Below are 21,025 nucleotides of genomic sequence, written 5' to 3'. Positions count from 1 at the left end.
CATGTCCCCAAGGAATTCTGTTTTATCCATTGGATAATTAATAGTTCCAATGAGACAGTTCACAATGAAAAACCCAGGTCTTTGCTGTAAGAACCTTCATTGCACAAAGTTTCTCAATCTTATTTTATGCAAATATAACTCACATTCACCTATGGCTTTCTTCCCTTTTGTTATTAGGCAAATATTCTTTCCTTCTCAATTATATGCTTCTCTGGAGTCAAGTAAGGGTGGAGTAACAGTTGTACCTTTGTTCATTCACTTAATGGATGTACTAGTTAGGGTAGGCTGAATTGCTGTCATAAATACATGCCAAATGTATAATGGTTTGAACACAATAGAAGTTTGTTTCTCATATAATTGCTCAAGGGAGGTGCTCCTGGCTGAAGCGCAGCTCTCTTTCACAAGGTAGTTAAGGGACCATGGCTTCTTAGACCCTGTGGCTCTACAGACCCTTAAGGCCACGTCACCCAGCACACATAAAGAGTGTGGAAGAACACAGAATAATTGACCCAGACCTGTTGAAGGTATACAACACTTCCACTTACATCTTTGGAAAGAATTTAGTTATTTAGTTACATGGCTTTACTTCACTGTAAGGAAGACCAGAAAATATAGCTGTGCTCTGTGCCCAGGAAGAAGGGGAAGAAGGATTCTAGTAGATAGTCTGCAGACTGCCAAAATGACATAATTTTATTTCTACTTTTAACCACTGTTGTTCATCGCCTTAGTTTAATTTCTACAAAACTTCCATAATTTCTTGGCTATGTTGTTGGCTGACCACTGTAGCAAAGGAGGGTTGGGTGTGTGGTTCAGCAGTAGGTGAGCAGGAAAATCTCAGAGGCAGCATCATGGCAGCTGATGAGTCTGGAGGACTGGAGGGAACTGATGGTGCAGGAGGCCAGAGGAGACTGAGAGTGTGTGGCCAGAGGCCCTGTGCGGAGGTTAATCTGCTGAATAGTGAAAGGGGAAGATGACTGAGACAGGAAGAAACCAGGAGTATGATTCATTTGGCTTTGAGAAGAACTTTTTTTTAACACCTCAGCATGGGCAAGGATATTGTATACCTAACACTACATATGTTTCAGGAAGTTTCCGAGCAATGAAGTAGCTTCTCCAGTAATGTGTTTACATTTGATCAGTGAAAAGCTACTTATTGATCTCCCATGATGTACCTGGATCTATGCTAGGCTCTCTACTAAATACAACCCCTATTCTTTTTTTTTTTTTTGCTGGAGTCTCACTCTGTCACCCAGGCTGGAGTGCAGTGGCACGATCTCAGCTCACTGCAACCTCCACATCCCAGGTTCAAGCAATTCTCCTGCCTTAGCCTCCTGCGTAGCTGGGATTACAGGCGCCCACCACCATGTCTGGCTAATTTTTGTACTTTTAGTAGAGACAGGGTTTTACCGTGCTGGCCAGGTGGGTCTGGAACTCCTGACCTCAGGTGATCTGCCTGCCTCAGTCTCCCAAAGTGCTGGGATTACAGGCGTGAGCCATCACGCCTGGCCACAAGCCGTATTCTTAAAGAATTTATAATCCAACTAGTCAAACATAACATGTACCTAAAATAACTCAATAGCATAGGAGAAAACTGAGGGCAAAATATATGGATATCAACTCTCCAGATTAAAAAAATTCAAAAGAATGGTTGATCACTGAGGGCCAAGATAGTCAAGGAAGGCTCCATAGAAGAGGTTGGAATAAAATGACTGGGATAGAAAGGGAGACAAAGAAAAGTGTACCAGGACGGGTGGAAAAGGCCAGAATGAACAGTAAGAGCGCCAGGAGAGTGGTGGGTGGGGTGAAAGGCTATAGAGGTAGGCATTGGGCCCAACCATGGGTAATTTTGAAAATCAGGAATAGGCACCTAGACTTGGTATGGTAAGAAACAGAGAAAACACAGGCCCTCTCTTTTATCTTTACCATGATGTTTTCCAGGTTAAGAAATCTACTTGAAAGCATCTAACCCTTAACCTGATAGATGTTAGTAAACATTTATTCACCCCAGAGAGTAATACATTGGCGGTGGTGTGCAGAAAATACTTCATTCATTCATTCTTCAAGCATCTACTGGATGTTTTCTACATGCCACATTCTGAGCTAGACACAGAGGATGCAAAAATTATAATAAAGTCGTGGTATCTCCTTGGGGTTAGATTATCATAGACTGGATCCTCCTATATACTGGTAACCAAGAGGTGCACAGTTCCCATACCTGTGCTCTGTTTCTACCTTGCCCCTTGTCAAGGTAATGCTGTCTATCTCGCCCACTTAAATCTGACCCCAGAGATCACTTCTTGTGTTTATCTAAAAACCAGGGTTTGCGCCCATTTCCTTATGCTCATTAGGGCAGGTTAGGCTCCCAGTGCTGAGTTGCTGGTCTCCTTGGAGCACCAACCAAAACAAAAAATATCAGCCTCCTAGGATGTCTGGCAAGAACTTCTGAGATAAATCACATGAAAGTGTTTCAAAATCTGAGGGAGGCCATCCAAATGTAATGGATAATTACTATGATCACCACCGAAGATGGCCGGTCCTCCACTCCTTGGGGCGTGGTCTCTCAGAGCTAGGTTCTCATGATCATGTGTGTGCAAAGGGCCCTACTTACTTTTGGATTCTTTTGCTTATTGACTATGCATAAAAGGCCAAGTTTGGCATCCACAAGTAACTATTTTCAGGCATATTTATCTAGTTTAGCTGGAGCTAGTTTGTTTACAGACAATGTGGTCTGCACACAAGGCTGGGAGTTCAGGTGCTAAATAGAATTCCCGCTCAGTTTCTAGCCTGCTGTATGGCCTTGGGTAACCTGCATAACTTCCTTGTGTCAATTGGTTCTTAACTGTCACCTCAGAGCCATGCTGATTTGTCTAAGAGATGTTTGGAGAGGATGAACTGTTTATCACCTCTAAACTGATTTTTAAATACTGACGTAAAGACTCCTGGTTTCCAGTCTGACACATAAGGAACTTAGAAGTCACCATTCCATTCTAATAATAAGTAAGAAACCAAGCACAGAGAGTAAAACAATGGTTACCAGGGGATGGGAGGGGTAGGAAATGGGGAGAAATAGGTCAAAGGGTACAAATTTGTAGTTATGCAGGATTAGTAAGTCTAGAGATCTAACATACAGCATGAGGACTACAGTAAATACAACCTTATCATAGACTGAAAATTTGCCAAGAGAGTAGATTTTAGGTGCTCTTAACACACACACACACACACACACACACACACACACACACACGAAGTAACTATGGAAGATGATGGGTGGGTTAATTTGCTTGGCTGGAGTAAGCATTTTACCGTGTATAGTTATATAAAAATATCATGTTGTACACCTTAAATATATACAATTTAAAAAGCCAAACAAAATACAAAATCAGCAACTCTTCTTAGATCTGTCAGAGAAGTGAGGCCACAGGGCAATCACTGGCCCCAAAATTGGAGAGACAGACAGGTGGATACAGAGCATCCTATGGCATATCCCAAGTGATCACATTTTAACACAAAGAAAAACACCAAGAAATTCCAAAATGTAAAAATAGTGCAGAAGGCATTTTCTGTTCATGATGTAATATAGCCCGATCTTAATAATAAAACAAAATAATAAAACAACAAGATATTCTAATATCTGGGAAAAAAACCCCAAAACTCTTTTTAAAGCAACTCTTGGATCATAAAGAAAATCAAAATCAAACCTAATATTCAGAAAATAAGAAAATGTTTAAATTTAAAATAAAAATATGTTTTAAGGAAAGATAGAAGATAGAAGCTATGAAGCTATATGAAAAAGAAAGCAAGGAAATGAAAAAGAATTCAGCATGATCTTTATCTCTGGTGGTTGGAGGAGTAGTATGGACAGAAGCAGAGGGAGGGAATGGGAGGGGCAATATAGGTAGATGGAGTTTATTGTCAAGACGCATTGGGTGATGGGCCCATATTTTAAAAATTATGTTAAAAAATGGAAGAACTAAACAAAAGATGGCTATGCATTTACCAATGATGAGAGTGTAACATAAATTAAGGATGATGATTAATCCAATTCTGTGCCAAAAACTAATTTAGAAATAACTATATACTAGAACCTAAGGAGTGCAATTTAAAGCAGTGCTCAGAGGAAAATTCATAGTCTTCCATATGTAGAATAATAAAAAGACTGATAATGAAAGAAGTAACATCTGACTCAAAGAATTAATAAAAAGAACTGAATGATAATAATAAACCTAAAGAAAGTAGAAACTAAAAGCAGAAATTATTTAACTAATAACAAACAAAGTGGTATGTGTAGTGGTCAGATTGAAATAAATTATGGACTATCTGTACAGTGCAATACTCTGTGGCTATGAAAAAGGGAAGAGAAAGCTCTCTCTGGATTGATAGGGAATAATTGCCAAGCTATGTATAATAGCTAAGTAAAAAAAAAAAGCAAGGTGCTTTTGTGTAACGTATGCTATCATTTGTCCTTTGTGTAAGAATCAGGAAAGATAAAGAATATCCACACACACACACACACACACACACACACATATATATGCACATATGCACTTATATATGTGCATGTGTGTATATATACATATATACACATATATATGTATATATATATACACACACCCCTGCACATATATGTAATTGCTGGTATATGCATCTCTCTGGAAATATTCATCAGAAACTTGAAGCATTGGTTGCTACTGGCTAGAAGAAAGAGTAGAAGGGACATTTTTTACTACCCTTTTGCACATTTCAAATTTTGAATCACATGAATGTGCATACTTATTTAAAAATTAAGTTAAATAATTGGCAAGTAAATTATTTCTAGTTTTTAGAAATATGGAACTGAACAAGCCTTTAAATTTAAGATCATAAAATATAGCAAGAAATAGTTTTATTTTTCTAAATAACATTTTTATTTTCTACGTATATATTTTTCTAAATTATGTATTCCAAGTCCAGTTATGAGAGAGAGATTGTGGGAAATGAAAGGAGTGATAAACCACAGGAAAAGAGAGGGACCATGGGAAATGAGACTAAGAGTTAGACGGGAGCCCAGGAACCTATGCCGAAAGAGAGGAGCCAGACAATCAGGGAAGTTTGGTGAAACAGAAAGAAGTACAGGCATTCTACAAGTTCTAGGATCAGGACAGTCGGGTAAAATGTTCTTGCAACAATGCCTTCCATCTGGGACACGAGCTTTAGAGCAAACTATCCTGTTACAATAGTCTTTGAAATCATGTGAGAATAAAATGTTTATTTTTTCCATTGAAACCTAAGGGTTTTCTCATATGTGAAAAGAATTAACAAAGGTTTAAGAGAGTCAGTTAGGAACCTAGTATGTCTTTGACATTCAAAAGTGGTCGAATTGCTTCGTCTTTGTTCACAAGAGAATATGCGTTCCACTATTAAATGTCAGGCAGCTGTATTTGAAAATAGTGTTTATTTCACCTTTTAAAAGCCTCCCTTGACCACAAATAAGTCTAACTCATGAGGCTATAAATAATGTTTTATTTTTCCAATTTTTCAATTAAAAATATCAAACTCCTGGAGGAGCCACCCTTAGAAAATGAAGCACAATATCAGCTTAATAAAAGAAAAATTTATGTTTCTGGTTACAATATCTTGGCTTGAATAATTTCATCTCAGAATGCAAATGTAAGATAGAGTGAAGTTAAGTTGGGACCCAATCAAGTTTTGAAGATTCCCATTTCTGGCGTATAAAATAATGCAAGTTTAACGTTTTGGGAGACACCATTACCTCTGTTGCCACCTGCTGGTAAACATATGTCTCATTTAATTCAGTTAATGGCTCACCCCGATTAAACACATTTTGGATCTTGGAGATAGATTTGCAGCAAAATAACTTCTGCTGCTTCAGAAGTGGTCACTGGTTTACGGATGCAGTGGCTGATGCATCACAGGGACTGGCTGTGCTGAGCTATGTCCCTTAGTACGTAGGACAGCCGAAGACAGCTTGCACTGGTATGTGGATTTAGACAGGCCTTCCTCTGGCAGGGCCTCCTGCTCTCCCAATTCTTTAAGTTTGTCTATTCTCATGTCCATCAAAACATAGGATTCTTCTCCTTAAGGAGATCAGTTTTTAAAAACACTGAATGATTCTGAGTCTTAATTTAAAAAATTTTAATCAAAGGCTTTTGACCCTCCAAATGAACATGGACCACACACATATATATACTCATGCATACAGTTGCTTCATTTTGGTTCTGAGGTTGAAGTCAACACTGATGAACAGAGATGCTTTTATTTATTCTGCATGCAGCCTTTCTCTTCCTTCTCCCACTCATATGCTTTATTCTTCTGCTCTTTCAAAACCTGCATTCCATGCTCAATACTTGTGCATTTAGCTGCAACACAAACACTCATAACTCACAGTGTGGCTAATGTTTACACATTTTCTTATAAACATAAGGAGCCTACTTTATCTGGAACCCTCACTTTATCTGGAATTTTAATAAGCAGAAGGAAAAAATATGACCATTTTCCTTCTATGGTACCACTTCATGATGCTAATTGGTCATTATGTTCCCCCAAAATACTGTAAGATTCTGATGTGGTTTTGTTACCCATTTACTTATTTAAGAATAGTTGGGTGGTTGGTTTCAAGTTTTTGGTGATTCTGACTAGAGCTGCTATAAACATGCATGTACAGGTTTTTGTGTGAGCATAAGCTTTCATTTCTCTACAGTAAAAACCTGAGGGATGGGATTATTGGGTCATTGTGTATGTTTAACGTTTTAAGGAATTGCCAAGCCATTGTCCAGAGTCGCTTTACTACTTTGCATTCACATGTGCAATGCATGAGATTTCCAGTTGCTCCGCATCCTTGTCAGCACTTGGTATTGTCAGTATTTTTAATTTTATATATAATGGTAACACATTGTAGTTTTAACGGACATTTCCCTAATAATGAATAATTGTTGAAAACTTTTTGTGTACTTACTATCATCTAGCTATCCTTTTATGTTAAGTGCCTGTTTAATTACCCATTTTTTTACATTGGTTTATTTGTTTTCTGTTGCGTTTTGAGAGTTCTGATATATTCTGGTTATGTCTTTTGGTAATGTAGTTCTTGAATCATCAAAAAATGTATGAATATTTAAAGTTTTTTATTGTAAAGTTTTTAATTATATTTACTTCTTGGTGATTTACATATGCAAGCCACATAAGTCTATTAATTAAACTTTTCCATCACCCAGAACTGTGTGTATTTTGAATGATTGGGTGCTTTTTAAGGAGGCCCAGAGGGAAAGCTGGTAAGCTGCCCCAATCAGAGTCTGGAAAGAGCCATTTGGTGGATTCACAAAGGCAAGTCCAGGGTTTTTAGTCTTTAACTTGAAGATTCAAAAATGTGACTTGGTTGAGCCAGGCATGGTGGCTCATGTCTGTAATCCCAGAATTTTGGGAGGATGAGATGGGAATATTGCTAGAGCCCAGGAGTTTGAGACCAGCCTGGGCAACATAGTGACTCCCTGTCTCTTAAAAAAAAAAAAAAGAAAAAAGAAATGTAACTTAGCCAGTGTCCCAAGAGCTGATCCCATTTGAGGACGCTTATTCATGCTAGCAAGGCTCTCAAGAGACCAAAGTGCAAGACCAGGGTAGCAGCTAATGCACTAAGGGGGCCTCTTATGTCTTCTCCTATAGCTCCATCTGATATTCACAAGGTTCCTTGAGGAGCTTGGAGTTGGAATAAAGGGGATTTAGCTGTATCAATGGTTGTGACAGAATTTTTACTAGGTCATGGTGAAAAAAATAAGCATAATTTAACTTTTCTTAATGGATTCAACTTAAAGGGCTACCCTTTATTTAGAGATTGTATCCTTTCTACAACTTTGGCAAATTCCATATGAATTTATTTTCTTAGGGTGTATTGATGACTTACTGGCCTAGAAACAATTCTGAAAGTAAAGAGCCATTTTATGTTATAATTTCAGTCCTATCACCTGGATTTCTGAGACCTTGGGAGCTACCTCCCTCCCACTTCCTCATCTATATGTGTGTAAGTCAACTGAACTTGGCATTCAAGGCCCTATACAATCTGACTCTTAGCTTCCAATTTTATTTCAATTCACCTTACCATGAGAATCCTCTCCAGGTAAACCAGTCTTCTTGAAACTCCCAATATGCTGTGCCTTTTCTTGCCACTGGATATTTGCTGTATGATTTCTAGCACACCACTCCCTCCTCCACTGATCTTCTTTGATGTCTTTTAAGCCCGAAGTGAACACATACTCCTCTGGGTTCTTATAGCACCTGTCTTCGGTACCATTCCCAAAGCATTTATCCCACAATATCTTTCATTGTGGGTGACTCATGTGTGCTTTAATGAATGATCAGATAGTGCCCCCACTGGATGGAAAGCTTCTGAAGGGGGAGAAATAAAGGCCCACTTTTTTAGAAATCTCAGCATGTCTCCCAGCAAATAGCACAGTGCTTCTCACAGCAGGTGCTCAATAAGTGTCTGTTAAAGGAATGAATGAAGACATAAATGTACGAGAAACAGTATATTTAAATTCTTGCAACAGAATTCCTCTTTTCACCCATGGTTACCTATGTATTTTGATACTTGAACACATTCTTATACACACATCCTATATAAATATACAAACCGAGGGCTCCCTTGGGCTATCTCCTCAGACGTGTGAGTCTGTGAGTGTGGCCTGCACATCAGCATGCCCAGGCAGAAGGAAAAACAAGCAGGCACTCCCAACTGGGGAAGTCATTTGCAGCTCTTCCCATTATTACTGGCTGAATCTCTTTATTTAAAACAAACAAAGAGCTGGAAGAAGCAACTCAAGTGGCCAGCTATTAGCAAGTTCAATTATCAAAACACAGACCTGGTCTTTAAACCTATAAAACAGCAAACCCTAAAAGTCTGCTCCTGACCTTTAGCATCTCTGTGGCCAGCTGAACCTCCCCTAGCTCTCTCTTTAGGACCCTTAGGGGCCACGCGTTCATATCACAGGGAGGCTATTTTTAGATCTTATTTGGCTGAGAGCATTTTCATTAATCTCAAAGGGCATCTCTCTCCTTTCCTTTGTTTCCTATGCCACAGGGCAAGGACTCCACCCAAAGGCAATCCAGCTACCATTTTCCACATAGTCTATGGTTAGTCAGAGAAGTGTCTAAGGGCTGCAGAGAAGGAAGGCCTGAAATTTAGATCCTAGAGACAAGAGGGCTACTGTAGAGCCAGCAAGAATGACCAAAAGAGGAAATTGGAACACCATCCAGGCCACAGGAGGGAGATGTGGTTCGTCTCCTGTTTCTGATGTCCACTGAGTGGTCCCATAGTCTGGCCTGCTCAAGTGCTGGCCTGTCCAAGTGCAAGCCAAAGGAGGGAAGTGTCGTTAAACATCCTTTAATCTGTGATGCTTGTGAATCATCATTGTGGTCAAGAAAATGGAAATCAATCCTAATGCTGTAGATGGAAAAGGGGTGGAAAACAGAAAGGAATTTATAGCAACCACAGGCCACAGCCTGGCAGTGTTTTGTTTGGGTTTTTGAAATAAATTAGGTCTATCACCTTTTTGTTGTCCTTTACTTCTTTCTCTTAAAAAGTAGAGTATATGAAAATACTGGTTGCGTAAGTGTTCTATTTGATTATATAATACCTACTTTATAGAGTTGCATACAATTGCATTACAGAATTATATAGTGTGATCTTACCTATACAATGAAAAAGAAAGATGGAGAGAGGACTCAAAGGAACTGTACCAAAGTTAACAGTGAGTGACACTGGGCAGTGGAATCATAGATAATATTTCCTGCTTCTTTATACTTTTCTTTCAACGTTTTCTCTAATCAGCATTTATTACTCTGAAGATCTGGAAGATGCTGATCAAAATTAAAAAAAAAAGATTATATTGTACAGAAAGGTTGTTTTCAACCTAATTTATCTTTCAGAGGTTTTGCCATTTTCTACCTATGTGACCTTGAGTAAGTTACTTAACCCTTTGAATCTTAGCTTCCCTCCTCCGTAAAATGGGGATAATAAGTACTTACTTCCATCAAAGAACTGTGTGAAAATTAAATGGAAAAACACAAACAACTCATCTAGTACTGAGCCTGATGAAGCACAGACACTCAATAGTGGGTAATCAAAAACTGTGAAGTAATATCTCTAATTTCTTATAGGGTAAGCAACTTCAGGAGCCTGTTTGGGCCAGTCTTGAAAATGGAGGGACTCCATTTATTTCCTGCCACTGTGATAGTCCACTGTATGGTTTCTTGTTTTCTTCAACTATGCCTGAGAATGGCTTGACCCAAATTTCAGAAGATTAATGAAGTCCTAAGGGCAATTATGTAAGTGTAAATAATGGAATGATGTGGTAAAATGCAGGCACATGTGCTTTGGATTTGGAAAAACCAGAGTCTAAATTTTTCTAATTACTAACTGTGTGATCTTAGGTGAGTGACTTTAGTTTTTGGAGTCTTGATTTCCTCATGTTTAATAATTCTAACATCCATTGAGTCATTATTACGTGTCAAGCACTAGGCTAAGCATTTTATGTACATTAATATATTTAATCAACATGGCAACCCCATGCCATGTAATTATTATCCCCATTTTACAGATAAGGAAGAGGTAAAGGAGGCTGCCTGTGGTCACAGAGCTGTATATTGATAGTTTGAATTTTAACTTAGTCTGACACTAGAGCCTATTTTCCTCACCACTATGCCTATTTGAGGAATTTCATACATAGCGTCCCCAAAGGATGTATGCTGGGAAAGGTATTAATATTCCAGATGTAGCATACCAATGTCTCAGGTGAATAATACTTGGGGTCATCTCTTTCTCATACTCCTTTTCTTTTCTTTTTTTTTTTTGAAATAAAGTCTGGCTCTGTTGCCCAGACTAAAGTGCCATGACTTGATCATGGCTTACTGCAACCTCAGCCTCCTGGATTCAAGCAATCCTCTCACGTCAGCCACCCAGGTAGCGGGGACTACAGACACATGCCACCAAATCTGGCTTTTTAAAAATTTTTTCTAGCAATGAGGTCTCACTAAGTTGTCCAGGTTGGGCTCAAACTCCTGGGCTCAAGCAGTCCTCCCACTTGGCCTCCCAAAGTGCTGGGATTACAAGAGTGAGCCACTGCACTCAGCCCATACTCCTTTTCTTAACACTTAGAGCATTTCAAGGAAAGGCAACAATTAAAAAAATTCTTTAGTTTGTTACACATGATCTTTTAGACATTGTGCTAATATTGGCTTATTATTCCAATCCTAACACTACTAATGACAGTTACGACTTACTGAGTACTTGTAAGTTACCAGGTACTGGGCTAAGGGCTTTGCATGCTTTACCTTAGTGCATCCCAACAATAAATTTATGAAGTAAGCTTTATTAGTCTCATTTTGTAAATGAGAAAAACCGAGACATAGAAAAGTTAAGAAACTTGGCAAAGTTCACATGAATAGTGAATGGTGGAACCAGAATGCAAGCCCAAATCTGTCTGGTTTTTAAGTCTCTGCATTTAATCATCTTATTACACTAGCTTCCCACCCTCCTCATCATGTTTTGTGTTTATCTATGTGGCTTTAGAGTAGCATGAAGGATCACCCTGGGATCAGATTATGCTGGAAAGCTATCCAGTACTGTGCTTTTTCTACTTTCCGTTGAGGCTGGAGAGGCAAGATTCACTATGATAAGGCTGAGATCACCCAGTGGCACAGCACTTTAGGCTTAGGTCAGCATGTCAAATCTGCTATACACTATTGTAGTGGTTGCTAGTGCTCTTTGCAAAATTGTTCATTTTCCTTACTTCTGGGCATAGGGAAGACTGAAATTCTTGAATTCCTATGGTTGAGTGGAATCTTATAACTAGTTATGACGTTTGAATTTTGTGTGGAAGTGACATGCAACAGACACTTCCAGGCTGGAGCCTGGAGCCTATTTGTGACTTTTTAGAGCTTTCTTTTGTCTTTGGTACAATAGCCAGCAGCATTCAAGATGGTGGCTGCTCCATCAGCCTGGGACTCCAGGTGACTACAATAAGCAAAGTTTCCTGCTTAAATGTAATGAATACGTAGCTTCAGTAAAAAAGAAACCGGCTGGGCGTGGTGTAATCCCACCTGTAATCCCAACACTTTGGGAGGTTGAGGTGGGCGGATCACCTGAGGTCGGGAGTTCGAGACCAGCCTGACCAACATGGAGAAACCCCGTCTCCATTAAAAATACAAAAATAGCCGGGCGTGGTGGCGCATGCCTGTAATCCCAGCTACTCGGGAGGCTGAGGCAGGAGAATCACTTGAATCCAGGAGGTGGAGGTTGCCGTGAGCAGAGATCATGCCATTGCACTCCACCCTGGGCAACAAAGAGTGAAACTCCATCTAAAAAAAAAAAAGAAAGAAACCTTTATTATTTAAGCCACTCAGATTTTAGAGTTGTTTGTTACTGCAACATAACCTAGTCTGTCTTGACTGATACAATCATGTAGCACATTGTGGACCATACAAGCAGCGCCTGGACATCAGTGTGCTAGTTGCCAATGTACTGTGTCCATGACTATCATCGGTGTAGGGGAGGAGAGAAAGACAAAAGGGAAGGTAGAGGTTGGGAGAGACAGAGACAGAAACAGAGACTAACTTTCACTTCTGGCAGAACCTTTTGGAAGCTGTGTCTTTTACTGTGATGAAACATCAAGGAACCACAAGGGCTGTGACTGTGTCTTGCTCAGTATTTCCAGTGCTGAATAAGGTGACGGACATTTATTAAATATTGCTGATTTCATAATATCAACGTTGGACTAACATTTTATAAACAATAAAATCTTTAGGAATACACGTTCTTGGAACATTTTACATGGTTTTGGGATTTAATTTAGCCAAAATGAATCCAACTTTCCTAGTTAGCTTTTTAAATGTGGCTAGCTTAATTCCTTTGCCTTTTGTCACTTATTGGTTCAAGGTTGCTGGCCCTGGGGTCTCAGGATACTGGGCACATGCCGTTTTTTAAAGGGGGCCTCCCTGTGCCCTTTTCTCCATCAGAAATTAACACAATCCTTACGCTTCAAAGTGAAGTGGGGAAGCACATTCATATTCAAATAAGAGTTTTCGCTCTGATTTAAAAATAAATAAATAAATACTTTAGCTCAAATTTATGCTTAATCTGAAGATCCATGATCCCTTCATGGAGTGCGGAGCTGCTCATGTAGGGGGATCGGTGGAGGTGACTCATTCTGCAGAGCAGCAGCTGCAGCCGTCACATAGACAAGCCGCCAGACCCCACAGGCCAGGAGAAAAGAGACAGGGAGAAGGAAAAGGAGGAATGAGTGCTCTTAGAGCAAAGAAACAGCCTTGTGCTTGCATGAAGTCCTGCAAGGTTGAACGCCTCTTCAGGTAATTCCCTTCTTCTTGTCAGTCATTATTCCATCATTTCTTTCAGGAATCACTTGCCAGCAAGCCAGTGTCCTACCGTCATAGACTGTGACTTCCTGGAGTGCAAGCATGATGTCTTATTCATCTCTTAGTCATCCTACCCTACACTTCATGCCTAGCATGGTGGGGGCTACGAGTAGATGTTTGAGGAGCAAGTGATACCTCAGGAGTTGGGACCATCCTGTAAACTACAACTAACTAAGTGACCCTGAAAGGGGGGCCATTAAACTTCTGCTGCCAGCCCTAACTGAGGGCGTGGGTTGCTCACTTTTCAGTTTGCACAAAAGCTCATTTGCTGCTGCTTTCATCATTTATTTGATTCCTCTGCTTTCAACAAGTTGGTGTTGGGAAAGTTCAGCTAACTATCCCCACAGCTCCCCATGTGCAGTGTGGGAAGAATGTTTAAAGCTGGCTTCATAGAAGGAGTGAAGGCTAATGTTCAGTTCGGAGGAAGGATAATAGCTGGAATGCATAGTTCAGCGTCTGTCTCTGCCATTCAGGGGCTGGGACATTGGAAGGTTTGCTTCTATCAACAGATTAGTTAAGAAGACATTGAAGGGCATAAAGGCCACAGTAAGATAAGTTCTAAGACTTGTAAATACAGTTTAAATAAGAGTTAAACCACTAAAATCCACACACAATTGATGTAATTAGTCATCTTTGGAAGTAAAGTAAAAAAATCATTTATAAATGTGTGAGCCAAGAACTTAAGGATGCCTAAGAAACCAATCAAGGTGAACTTAAGAGAAATCTCAGGGAACCAGCAAGGGCAGTACTTAGAACCCAACCAATTGTACGCATTCTGCTTGAAGAATGCTTTAGAACAAAATGTCTGGGGTGTGGGGTGGGTACAAAGAAATGATCAGTTATAAGAATAAAGAAAAAAGGGGCCTGGTGCGGTGGCTCACGCCTGTAATCCCAGCACTTTGGGAGGCCAAGGCAGGCGGATCAAGAGGTCAGGAGATCGAGACCATCCTGGCTAACACGGTGAAACCCCGTCTCTACTAAAAATACAAAAAAAAAAAGGTTAGCCGGGCGTGGTGGCTCGCACCTGTAGTCCCAGCTGCTGGGGAGGCTGAGGCAGGAGAATGGTGTGAACCCGGGAGGCGGAACTTGCAGTGAGCCGAGATCGCGCCACTGCACTCCAGCCTGGGTGACAGGGTGACACTCCGTCTCAAAAAAAAAAAAATAAATAAAATAAAATAAAGAAAAAGGTGGGGTGTTGCAGAGGCAAATGTTGGTAGACCCACTAAGGCACTATAACAGCTCTGGACAGAGTCTTCTTGTCCTTGACTTGCTGAGAGAGCCTAAAGCATCTCAATGGAGAGACACTTCTGAAGCTTAACTCACTGCCTGCATTCTGAGCCAGTGTGCTGATTTGGCCAGAGTGAATAACCAGTACTCTTATTAGTTGTATTTTTCTGGGTAAATTAACAAACTGGTGTGTGTGTGTGTGTGTGTGTGTGTGTGTGTGTGTGTGGCTTGGAGGCTGTGTCAGCACCTGGGGCATGGAGGATGCTACTCTAATGATGTCAAGAGAGTCAGGATCTGGAGTCTGAAAGGACAGTGATGAGTCTCTGAGGCCAAGGCCATCAGTGGGCCTTCTCTGCATCCTTCTGTGTCATAGGCTGAGCTGCCCATTTTCAGGTGCAAAAGAAGATACTCTTCAAAGATGATGGCCATTCCTTGGCTTCCAACCAAGGCTATACTTTTCTTCAATGCTCTCAAACTTTTTGACTATGGGGAAAGTCCCATGGCTAACTTACCTCATCTTATATAAACTACCCCCTGCAAAGCCATATTTCAATATTTGTAAGGCTTACAAGGTAGACTATGCTAGCCCGTTGTGAGCCTTAGACTCCCGTGTGTGTCACGATCCCAGCCACAGGACTTCTACTGGAATTTTACAGCAGAAGGGCACTGTCTTTCTTGGCAGTCTGTTCAGCTCTGCGAATGTGCCCTGTCTCCACTGTGTGCTGGCTGCACAAAACACCTCTAATTCCTTGAGATGAAAGTTGCCACCAAAAGCAGGAAGTGCCTGTAAAGATGGAGGGGTCAACTCTAGGGGCTGAGGGCTGCAGAAGCTATGTTTTCACTGGGAAACAGACTAGAGTGGGAAGGTGAGATCTGTAATGATGGAGTGGTCTGCTCCTAGATAATTAACATTCACACCACAGAAGTGAGAGGAGAACCAGTAGGATGTAATAAGGCCTAGCAGAAGGTCTTTCCACACACACACACACACACACACACACACACACACACACACACACACACACAAGCTTTAAATGGTTCTATAGCGATAGCAACTGTCTTTGCTCTGCTCACAAGCCTGGCCAAGAGCTCGGGCTCCCTCTGTGATGACAAGAAAAAGGGGTCTGAAGGGGCCAGACTCAATGCATAGGCAGACCCTCCATGGGGAATCTGAGATGAGTGCTGTGTAAAGGCTTTTCTGTCCCAAAAGCTCTATGTTGTGGAAATGATGCCTGGAATTATCCAGCGTCAGGAACTTGCACCTGGACCGGAAAGTCAGGACCCTTGGCTGGAAAGTATTGAGTGGGGAGAAGAAGTGGGTTTGGCCCCAGATAAAGAGCATTGCTTAGGGACAACAGCAAAGAATAGGGGTAAGATCAAGAGCAACTCAAGAGCCACCTAATTCATGGGTAAGAACAAATCAGAAGTTGGGAGAAGAACACAGAAAAGGAAAATAGCTGAATTCAAGCAAAAGAAGCATCTCTGTGGTTTTGCCCACAATCAGTTGTAGTCACAGATACCATATTTTAAAAGTAAAAACCACGTCTGTCATCAACTGGTCATAACAACTCAAAAATATTTTTTAACTCTACATCTCTTACGCATTTTTTTTAGGGAAAAATAACTGAACACAGTGAACTGTATTCTTTGTTTGCAGGACTCTCCTTTTCATTTTTATACCAGATTTTTCAGCCAAGAATATTTGTCCTAAAGCTATTTAATAAATGAGCTGGTTGAAGACCTCACAACAGATTGCTGACAGCCCCAGTTACTTCTTTAAGGCAATGCCCATGAGCTGAAATGCTAGCACATACTCATGGACACAAACTTACTCAGAACTGCCTTCAGAAAGATGCAATTTATGATAGTACAGGGCAGCAGAAGGTCACATCATGTAAAACATGGGCACACAAAACAAAGCAAAAACAAGTAATTATTAAATTTTGTGAGTCATCCTGATAATAATGGAATCTTCCAGATACTTTCAGCACCTGAAAAAGACACAGAGTGTGGCATTTAGACTAGCACAGAGAAGGCACTCTTTCCAGTAAGGTTACTGAGTTTTATGTGGCATCTTATCGCCTGTCTTCCTTCTGGCACTTCCTAAGGAAGGGTGATGACGATATGCTCATTCCCACCACCATCAGTTCAGGGACAATGATCACCCTATTGACGAAGTTGGCCCAGGTGATTATGGTGGCACACATAGGCGTAATAAGCAGCCATAAGAAACGCAACCTCAGTTTTCCCACTTATTAAATGAGATTAAGCATCCCACTTAGGCATGATGCATAATCTCAACCTACTTCACTAGAAGACTGTCTGAACATAGAACAAAAAGAAGCATGCCTAGCTAGATGTAGAACAAAAAGAAATATGCCTAGCTAGATGTTCTGTGGAAGGGCATGATACAAAGTATTGCAACTGCTATATGTTAAGAAACAAGTAACTCTAGGACCCTGAAAGGTTTTATGCAGAAGTGCATGCAAGAGTTTCATTTTGAATCTCATTAAAGCATCCCTCACTTATTAAGTGTAACATGAATCTTAACTGAAAAAAATTAAACTACTGTGTAAGCATTCCTAGAGTATGGTCTAAGTTTAAATGAAGCTCTTGTTTAATGATATCAGCCATAGTCTCATTCTGCAGGTGCCTTGTCTGCACATCTTTGTTCTCTCCTTTCTTCTGGAAACCAGTAAGCCCTCAGTATGTGTGTGTGTGTCTGTGTGTGTGTGTGGGTGTGGGTGTGCGCGAGTGCGCGCTCACGCGCCCACGCGCCCACGCCCCCACGCCCACCACTTCTTGTCTGCTGGGGACCCAGTGGGTTCAGGTCTCAGGAGGAACACAGAAGCTGTGCCTGCATTACCCAGTGAAGCTTTGATTTCTTTTGTTCCTGCTGCTGGAGCCTCCTTGGCTGATTAAGTCTGAGGCTTCTTCCAGGTTTTGTTGGTCCATGAATGGAGCCTCTTCAGTGCTCACTGGAGTGCGGTATCATTGATACTTCCTCCGCCTGGCTCCCTCCCTCTCCCAGCCCAGCAGAGCTGATGGATTAATCCTGTTGTGCGCTTGTAAGTCTCCCAGGCAGAAATGTAAGCTAGGGTAGAAAAAGATGGCTCAGGTTGGATGGGACCACAGAGACCTTCCTTTCTATACTCCTCATTTTACTTAATTAGGCTTCAAGAGGTATAGGGCAGAGCAGTGAAGGGCCTGGCCCAAGTCTCTCAGAGGGTTGGGGCAAGTCTAGACTTCCCCAGGGCTTTCTACTTTACTTGTTCCAGCACAGGCCCTTCTCAGTGGGAAGCCTGCAAGAATTTTTTTGCCCTTGCTGTAGAACAGTAACATTGTATCTACATACAGAACAATAACACTGTATCTAGATGCATCTTTTACATTTTTACAGCAAAGTGAAGGACCTGCTGACTAAAATCATAGATTTTTCATATGGGAAGTGAAGGGAATCTGTAGTACTTTCTAACAAGAGTCGGAAAACTGTCTTGTTTGCTAATAATTGCTTTGCCTATAATTTTTATTTTCCTGCCATATCCTCCAGTTTCACACATATGTCCCCAAACCCTTAAGTCTGTGGATTGCCTGTCTCCAGCATAGGAAGAGACCATGGCTTATGACAATTTTCTTCTTCAGAGACAACATTTTATAGCATTCATCACTTCCTGACATTATATATACTTATTTGTCTGTCTGCCCTCACTAAAATATAGGCCTCATTAGGATAGAGGTTTTGTTTTGTTCACTGATGTGTCCCTCTCCAATGCCTGTAATTGGAGTCTACATCAGAGTAAGCACTCAAAAAAGCATGGAGGCCAGGCATTGTGGCTCACATCCCAGCATATTGGGAGGCTGAAGCAGGAGGATTGCTTGAAGCCAGAAGTTCAAGACCAGCCTGAACAACATAGCAAGATCCCTATCTCTACAATAATAATAATAATAATGATGATGATAATAAATCAGTCAGGCATGGTAGTACATACCTAGTAGTATTAGCTACTTGGGACTGAAGTGGAAGGATTGCTTGAGCCCAGGAGTTCAGGACTGCATTGACCCATGATTGAAGCACTGCACTGTAGCCCAAGAAACAGAGGGAAGCCCTTTTTATTAAAAAAAAAAAAAAAAAAAAGGAATGAGTGAATGAATAAATGAAATCTACTTTCCCATGCACTGGCACCGAAAAGGAAAAATAGGAAAAATAAAAACATTGGCTAAATGGACAGGGAAAGGACCTGCTCTTAGCTCTGAACCCTCCCTGACTCCCTTTCCTTCCCCCTTCCCACCCAGAACTCCAATCACTGGCTTCCCTTTCTTCTCAAAACAACCTAGTAGTCCCTGCATCTTCACAAGAGACCATAAATAGCAACAGCCATTTTAAAGTAACACCTTCCAGAGGGCATTTTAGAAACACTCTAAGCCTTAAGCCAAAAGGAAGAGTACCTAATGGTAGAATTAAAGGGATTCGCTAACAGATGGGAGATGGGACCTTTGCATAGGCCATTATAATCCAGCTTCTTCATAGCCTTGGAATACCCCTGGCCACTGAAACAGAATTCCTGAGAACCCTTGCCTTTGAATGTGGAATGGTGACCAGAGAGTGGAAAAATCTCATCTTCAAATGACAGTATTTGAAAGGATATAACACAAATATGTCACTCTTACGTTGATATTCCCAGCGTAAATTGGCAAAGGCCCTTGAAAGTGCAATTTGGCACCATACCGTGAGAACCAAAAAATATTTAAGCCCTTTGATCTAGACATCTTACTATTATGAGTTTATTCTAAGAAAATAATCAAAAATAAGATAAAAGCTTTTTGCACAAAAAGTACACTGTCACATTTTTAAAAAACAAAAAGTGTATGATTGGATTGTTTGTAACACAAAGAATAAATGCTTGAGGGGATGGATACTCCATTTACCGTGATGTGAATATTACCCATTGCGTGCCTGTATCAAGTGTCTCAGTGTATATTTATATACACCTACTATATACCCACAAAAATTAAAAATAAAATTTTTTTAAAGTACAATTTTAAAAATATATTATTTCTAGTAGTTACAGCTTGGAAAAAAATTAAATGATGAATAATAGAACAAACCCACAATGTAAATTATACAACAACACATCTGAGTGACATTGCATCTGAGCTACTTAATAGCTGTGATAACTTGGGTAAATTATTTAACATCTCCAAGCTTCAGTTTCCTTTTCTATAAAATCCTGTTTCTGCAATAACAGCACCTACTTTATGAAGCTGTGAGGATTAAATGGCATTATTGCGGATAATGTACTTAGCGTAGTGCCTGGCACAATGATCGCTTATTGTGGTTATTATTTCAAAAGATAGTATTATATCTTTCTGGCCCAAAACATGCAAATCTCTCAATATTCTAGTCAAATAACTATGACAGAAACCATACTGAGGTAAGTATATATCTTCCTATCAGCATAGGTTTGGGATTTGATTCCAAACAGGCAGGACTCAAAAGTAGTTTTGCCCAGAGGTTGCCTCACATTTTTACCCCCAATTAACAAAAACAAAAACAAAATAAAAACCCTTGGCTTTGGAGAATAGGGTGGATAATTCTTTCCTTTCATCTGTTTTGCCTGGGTACATTTTGTGGAAGGAAGAGAATTGTGGGTGGAATGGGAAAGGAAAGAGGTGAAAGGGGTCCAGTTAATGAGATCGTTTCTTCCCTGTCTTTTCAGCTGTTTTTGAACTTGTTTTTAACCATGCAGCCCTCACAAAACTTTTACCCACTCCCCTTCTCCCCTCCTCTCAACTCCCAGTTCAAGCCTCTGGGCCGTAAAAGATCAAATCTGATGCTATTGCCAAGTTGTGCAGATCTGGACTCCTCAAAGACCAGGGGACGCCTAATTGGAGAATCTCTGGGAACCATCATTAAGGAGAACTGGTCTTGGACTTTGAAAAAAAAAAGTACATCGGTTCAATTTGCAAAGCATTCTCCCTTTTCCAACTCACTCTTACCCCTTTATTTACCTACTGCAGATTAGGCTCCAAATCTGAGATTTTTCTCTTTTTAACTGTTCATGGGATGGTAATTTGATCTTCTTGGCTCATTGTCTGTTTGTTTATTGTTGGGGGAAATGGTGTGTGTGTGTGTGTGTGTGTGTGTGTGTGTGTGTGTGTGTGCGTGCATACATGTTGGCCAGTATATTTGCACTGAAGTTCCTAGGGCTGACCCCTGGTGCTTGTGAATTTATGCCCGTGGACAATCAGGGGTATACTATTCTGGGGTTTAGCTTGTGTGTCTTGAGGCATAAATATCTGTCCACATTTGTATATTTGAGTATTTGGACATATTTGTATCAACTTTTATGTTAGCCAAAAAGAACAGCCTGCCAAGAGAAGC

General features: G+C 40.5%; 2 long non-coding RNA genes across 6 annotated transcripts in view, besides 1 other annotated feature; both read right to left on the bottom strand.

Moving 5' to 3' along the window:
- NEPRO-AS1 (NEPRO antisense RNA 1) overlaps nt 1-21,025 on the bottom strand; it is a 164,860-nt gene that overhangs the window by 42,344 nt on the left and 101,491 nt on the right. The window lies entirely within an intron of this gene.
- Nucleotides 14,568-19,124, bottom strand: LOC124906268 (uncharacterized). The gene is made up of 3 exons (XR_007096005.1): nt 18,633-19,124; nt 17,510-17,737; nt 14,568-16,634 (listed from the first exon to the last, which is right to left on the bottom strand). It is a non-coding gene; the product is annotated as an uncharacterized LOC124906268 (long non-coding RNA).
- Nucleotides 17,463-17,964: an enhancer, noted in NCBI's record as "H3K4me1 hESC enhancer chr3:112842917-112843418 (GRCh37/hg19 assembly coordinates)". NCBI's record gives its function as "activates a minimal SCP1, AML or CMV promoter by ChIP-STARR-seq in primed H9 embryonic stem cells {active_cell/tissue: H9 hESC(primed)}" and the evidence as "EXISTENCE:reporter gene assay evidence [ECO:0000049][PMID:30033119]".

This window comes from Homo sapiens, chromosome 3 (assembly GCF_000001405.40).
Source record: "Homo sapiens chromosome 3, GRCh38.p14 Primary Assembly".
Lineage (NCBI taxonomy): Eukaryota > Metazoa > Chordata > Mammalia > Primates > Hominidae > Homo > Homo sapiens.
This window is presented reverse-complemented; position numbering and strand designations above follow the sequence as displayed.